Here is a 6,000-nt window from a genome sequence, read left to right on the forward strand (position 1 = left end):
AGAAGGAACTCAGCATCCACTGGCCACGATCCCCTCCCCGGAGCGGAGGACAGAGCCCAGTTTCTTCAGGCGGTGGCTCCAGCCAGCTCTGCCCCACAGGGAAGGAGCGCGCAGCTGCCACACACCGCAGGCAGCGCTGACAGACTCGGCCTTCCGGGAGCGCAGGCGGGTGGGGGGCGCCGCCCTTGTCGCTGTCCGGAGCCCCGCAGGCCCGTGGCCCCCTGCCTGGTTCTCCCGCCTCTGCAAGCCTAGCCTTCAGGACTCCGCCTCGCCCCCCTCTTTTCTGTTCGGAGACTCACGGGGCCGTCTGTCTGGACCACGTGTGCACATTTCTGACCACGATTCCTCCGCACACCAGCTACAGGCACCGCAGCGCTGGGGACGGCACAGCTGAACTGTGCTGGCAGCGAAGGGGCCTCACGGGGACGGCTCAGCTCCCTGAGGGCGCAACCCACCTGGTCCGGGGGCGGGGGGGGGGGTGAGGAATAAACTTCCGCGGTTTTCAGTGACCCAGTTTGTTGCATGGCACATGTTGGAAAGGTGAATCTGACCGCGTTGACCGCGTTACTTCAGAGATGCGCTGTGAGCTGCTTTGTGCCGCGAAATGACCTGTTTACCCGACAGCGCCCTCTGCAGCCCAGCGCCGGAACGGGCTTTTTCATGATGTTCCTGCGTTGTGTTTACAGCCTCCCTGCGAGGGGTTCGCACGCACAGGCGGACCTCGTTTTGTTGCGCCTTGCTCTATTGTGCCTCGCAGATACTGCACTTGTTTTTACAAATTGGAAGTTTGTGGTAACTCCGTTGGGGCACATCTGTGGGTCCCGTTTTCAAACAGCTTGTGCTCACTTCATATCTCTGTTTCACATTTTGGTAATTCTTGTAATATTTCGAATTTTTTCATTATCATTATATCTGTCATGGTGATCTGTACTTAGTGATCTTCGATTTTACTCTGTAATTGTTTTGGGGAACCAACAACTGCACCCACGTAAGACAGAAAACGTAATAAATGTCACGTGTGTTCCACATGCTCCACTGACCAGCTGCCCCCATCTCTCTCCCTCCCCTCAGGCCTCCCTATTCCCATTACACTATTAATAACCTACAACGGCCTCTAAGTGTTCAAGTAAAAGGAAGAGACACACATCTCTCACTTTAAATCGAAAGCTAGAGATGATTAAGCTTAGTGGGGAAAGCCTGTTCAAAGTTAAGATAGACTGAAAGCAAGGCCTTTTGCACCCAGGAGTTAGCTCAGTTGTGAATGCAAAGAAAAACCTCTTAAAGGAAATTAAAAGTGCTGCTTCAGTGAACACATGAATGACGAGAAAGTGAAACAGCTTTATTGCTGATATGGATCCCTCAAGCCAAAGCCTAATCCAGAGCAAGGCCTCAACTCTCTTCAGTTCCGCAAAGACTGAGAGGAGTGAGAAAGCTGTAGAAGAAAAGTTTGAATGTAGCAGAGGTTGGTTCATGAGGTTTAAGGAAATAAACCATGTCCATAACATAAAAGTGCAACATGAAGCAACAAGTGCTGATGGAGAAGCTGCAGCAAGTTATCCAGAGACCTAGCTAAGGTAAGTGATGGAGGTGGCCACACCAAACCACAGATTGTCAGTGTAGATGAAACAGCCTTCTGTTGGAAGAAGATGCCATCTAGGACTTTCATAGCTAGAGAGGAGAAGTCAATGCCTATCTTCAAACTTCCAAGGACAGGATGTCTCTTGCTAAGAGCTAATGCAGCTGGTGACTTAAACTTGCGGCCAATCTCATTTACTATTCCGAAAATCCTAGGGCCCTTAAGAATTTTGCTAAATCAGGAGGCCGAGGTGGGTGGATCACCAGAAGTCAGGAGTTTGAGACCAGCCTGACCAACATGGAGAAACCCCGTCTCTACTAAAAAAAAAAAAAATACAAAAAATTTGCCAAGCATGGTGGTGGGTGCCTGTAATACCAGCTACTCTGGAGGCTGAGAAAGGAGAATTGCTTGAATCCGGGAGGCGGAGGTTGCGGTGAGCCAAGATCATGCCATCATACTCCAGCCTGGACAACAAGAGTCAAACTCTGTCTCAAAAAAAAAAAAAAAAAAAAAAAAAAAAAAAAGAATTATGCTAAATCTACTCTGTCTTGGCTCTATAAGTAGAATAACAAAGCCGGATGGGAGCACATCTGTTTACAGAGTGGTTTACTGAATATTTTGAGGCCACTGTTGAGATCTACTGCTCAGAAAAAAAGACTATTTTCAAATTATTACTGTTCATTGACAATGCACCCAAGGGCTCTGATGGAGATGTGCAAGGAGAGGAATGTTGCTTTCATGCCTGCTAACACCACATCCATTCTGCAGCCCATGGATCAAGGAGTAATTTCAACTTTCAAGTCTTGTTACTTAAGAAATACATCTCAAAAGGCTATAGCTGCCATAGATAGTGATTCCTCAGATGGATCTGGGCAAAGTCAATTAAAAACCATCTAGAAAGGATTCACCATTCTAGATGCCATTAACAACATTCATGATTCACGGGAGGAGAACCAATATCAACATTAACAGGAGTTTAGAAGAAGTTGATTTCATTCCTCATGAATGATTTTGAGGGGTTCAAGCCTTCACTGCAGAAAGTAACTGTAGATGAGGTGGAAATAACAAAAGAACTAGAATTAGAAGTGGGGCCTAAAAATGTGACTGAATTGCTGCAATCTCAGGATAAAATTTGAACAGATCAGGAGTGGCTTCTTATGGTTGAGGAAAGAAAGTGGTTTCTTGAGATAGAATTGACTCCTGGTGAAGATGCTGTGAACGTTATTGATATGACAACAAATGATTTAGAATATTCCATGAACTTAGTTGATGGGGCAGTGGGTAGGGTTTGAGGGGATTGACTCCAATTTTAAAAGAAGTTGTACTGTGGGTAAAATGCTATCAAACAGCATCGCATGCTACAGAGAAACCTTTCATGAGAGGAAGAGTCAGTCAATGCAGTAAATTTCATTGTGGTCTTATTTCAGATATTGCCACAGTCACCCCAACCTTCAGCAACCTCCACCCTGATCAGTCAGCAGCCATCAACATCCAGGCAAGGCCCTCCACCAGCAAAACAATTATAACTCACTGAGGGCTCAGATGATCATTAGCATTTTTTAAATCAATACACTATTTTTAAATTAAGATATGTTCATATTTTAGACATAATGCTATTATACACTTAATAGACTACAGTATAATATAAACCAAACTTTTATAGGCACTGGGGAAACAAAATATTTGTGTGACTTGCTCTGTTGCAATATGGGCTTTATTGTGGTGGCCTGGAACCAAATCCACAGTATCCCCAAGGCCTGCCTGTAAGGTGAGGCAGCAGCCTAGGAGCTAGTGCAGCCTGCCAGGTGCTGTGTGTTCCCAGCAAGCAAGGACACTTGGGAAGTGATACAAAGACAGAAAAGTTTTGGTCGTTTGAGAATCAACTCATAATAAAAAATAAATAATGAAATATGGTTAATTGAAGTAAGTTGATTACAAACTGAAAATGATATTCAGAAGAAAAAAGTTATATACAAAGATGGTTGTGATACAAAAGAATATAATGACACATTTAATTTTATTCCCTTTAATAAATGAGGAATGTGGTCTTACTCCTTCCATTGTCTGCTTCTAAAGTATAGATATAAACCTGTATCTATCTGCAGATGCAGATAAGAAACCTGGGAAACCACAAGAAAGCCAAGTAGCCTGGGAAAAAATGGGCATTGAGCCAAGAGCAAAAAATAAGAGTCGATCCCGTTGGTGCCACCTGACAGCAGAGATGGCTGAGGACCCCCGAGCGTGAGTCCAGAGAGCTGCCCTGCAGCCCCACCCTGCCTTTCCAGGATGAACCTTCTCTGGGAAGCCACTGCTCATTCGGAAAGTGAAGAATGCCTGTGTTTCCAACACCAACACCAGCTCTCCTGACGTCTCAGAATGCCAGGACCACGCGTGATGGAACACCAGGCAGGGGAGACTCAAATATACAAGGCGAGAGGCCAGGCAGGGCCAGCGTCTCCCTCAGGCACATGAGGGCCCACGATACTTTTAGGAACCCACGAAAATGTTTTAATTTCTCTTAAAAATCAGAAGGAAACAAATAAACTCTTAGGTATAAGAAAATGTTTCAATATACACGATTGATATATCCACCTTTATACAAATGCAGTAACAAAACTTACGTGTTTAAATTTTTTAATGGAAAAAAGATCCCACAAAGGCAATGAAAGTCATGATGTGGCCTGATCCCAGGTTGCAAAAAACTAAAACATTTGTGAACGGCGTTCATTAGAAACACAAGAATGCTAATGTAGCATGTCAGGTTTAACCATAAAATGTTGAATACGATGTCCAGTGACTTGAGTTTAAAATGCTGGAGGAGGAATAACCAGAGAGTAACACAGTTTCCGCTGTCACACCCACACCCACAGCAAGACGAACTACAGAATTTCTGTTTTTCTTTTTAAAGCAGGGAAAGAAGTAAAAATGACAACAAAATATAATTATAGTAATAATTCTAGGAAAATATAAAAATTAAATATAGAATAATGAGGAAATGGTTAATGCTGTAGAGTAGGTTCAAAGTGGAGGTAAGAAGTAGGTGATAATCTGAATTGTTTGGTTGTGTCTCTTGTATAAGGTATTTGTTCAAAAGAATCAGCCATGCTAAAACTATAATTGCAGTACTCATTAAGACAACTTAATTAGAATCAATCTTTAAGTGCTCAAGCAAAGGTTGTTTCAAAGGTGAATTTGATAAACTGAGCATCAGAGTCCTCATTTTTGGGCGTCAGCCTCCATGTTGAAATCCCTTTCACTTTAACACCAATAATCAGAGTTCACGAGGCCCCTCTCCATGTTCTCACCTCTTCGTTTGCTCCAGAGCCTCTGAGGCTCCACTCTCCACTCTAGCTGCTGGGGAGAGAAGGTGAAGGTGACTGAGCTCCATCCTCAATGTGTTCTCTAGATGGGGACGGGCAGGTCCCAGGGTCATTGGGATACAGTGTGAGGAGGACCCGAGGGGTGCAGGGTTCAGGGAGCTCTTGGGGGCTTTAGCCTGGGGATGGAGCAGGGTGAGCCAAGGAAGGTTTGCAGAAGGAATGATGAGTCGGAGGAAGCAGGACTGACCTAAGGGAGGGCCTTCTGCTTGATGTCGGCCATGAGGAGCAGGAGAGAAGGGGCGGGAGGGGCTGCGCCTGATGGCCATGAAACTTGGGGGCCCATGCTCTGAGAGGGACCTGTGCTCCTTAGGAAAACATGGAGCCCACAGGACTCCACGCGCAGAGACAGGAGGGCCCCACCCGAGACTCCCTTCAGGAGCAGCACCTGGGTGGAATGGACGAGATGACTCTGTCCTGGTCCCTTGTCACCCATCCCCACAGCATCCCTGAGCCAAGCAGGGGATGAAGTGTCACCCACTTAGGGAAAAGGAAGTGGGGGACAGCTGAGGGTTTCTTCCAAGGTGGCAGTAGACAGTGGCTCAGATGGGTGTGACTCACCCCATCTTCCAGCCCTTTATACTCTGTCATTGTTTCATGATTGTCTTAATGCTACCTTTTTGAACAAGTAAATGTGCTTGTTTACAATTTGTGCATAAATGTGCCTGCAAATAGGTAAATACGGACCCCCTCCTCAAAATTAATGTAATAAATATAATCAGATTGTACATCTAATAAGAAGCCTTTAGGAGATTGTTAAGAACTAAAAGTAAATTCTGGCTTTTTGCAAATCAGTATGAAGTGTTGTTTTAATAAGCTTGTACTGATTTCCAATATCACAGAATGTATATTCCACGAAGGGCTTCCCGCCGAATGCGCACACTGAATTAATCCTATTTGGATGACAGATTTTACACCCATCACTATTGGAGAGTGCACCGCAGATGATATTTAATGAAAACTTCCAGTCAGGCAGGTGATCTGATGCCTGAGCATGGCTTCCTGATAAAATTGCATGTTTCTTTCTTCCTCGATCTCCCACAGATA

At 45.0% G+C, this 6,000-nt stretch overlaps 5 annotated features.

Annotated features, from left to right (window-relative positions):
* Positions 52 to 730: an enhancer, noted in NCBI's record as "H3K27ac-H3K4me1 hESC enhancer chr6:167764467-167765145 (GRCh37/hg19 assembly coordinates)". NCBI's record gives its function as "activates a minimal SCP1, AML or CMV promoter by ChIP-STARR-seq in naive H9 embryonic stem cells {active_cell/tissue: H9 hESC(naive)}" and the evidence as "EXISTENCE:reporter gene assay evidence [ECO:0000049][PMID:30033119]".
* Positions 52 to 848: a biological region, named in NCBI's record as "Sharpr-MPRA regulatory region 6086".
* Positions 72 to 341: a silencer, noted in NCBI's record as "silent region_17791". NCBI's record gives its function as "represses an Ori minimal core promoter by ATAC-STARR-seq in GM12878 lymphoblastoid cells {active_cell/tissue: GM12878}" and the evidence as "EXISTENCE:reporter gene assay evidence [ECO:0000049][PMID:35858748]".
* Positions 554 to 848: an enhancer, noted in NCBI's record as "tiled region #6086; HepG2 Activating non-DNase unmatched - State 12:CtcfO". NCBI's record gives its function as "activates a minimal TATA promoter and a strong SV40 promoter by Sharpr-MPRA in HepG2 cells {active_cell/tissue: HepG2}" and the evidence as "EXISTENCE:reporter gene assay evidence [ECO:0000049][PMID:27701403]".
* Positions 5,158 to 5,699: an enhancer, noted in NCBI's record as "H3K27ac-H3K4me1 hESC enhancer chr6:167769573-167770114 (GRCh37/hg19 assembly coordinates)". NCBI's record gives its function as "activates a minimal SCP1, AML or CMV promoter by ChIP-STARR-seq in naive H9 embryonic stem cells {active_cell/tissue: H9 hESC(naive)}" and the evidence as "EXISTENCE:reporter gene assay evidence [ECO:0000049][PMID:30033119]".

Source organism: Homo sapiens, chromosome 6 (assembly GCF_000001405.40).
Source record: "Homo sapiens chromosome 6, GRCh38.p14 Primary Assembly".
In the NCBI taxonomy this organism is placed as follows: domain Eukaryota; kingdom Metazoa; phylum Chordata; class Mammalia; order Primates; family Hominidae; genus Homo; species Homo sapiens.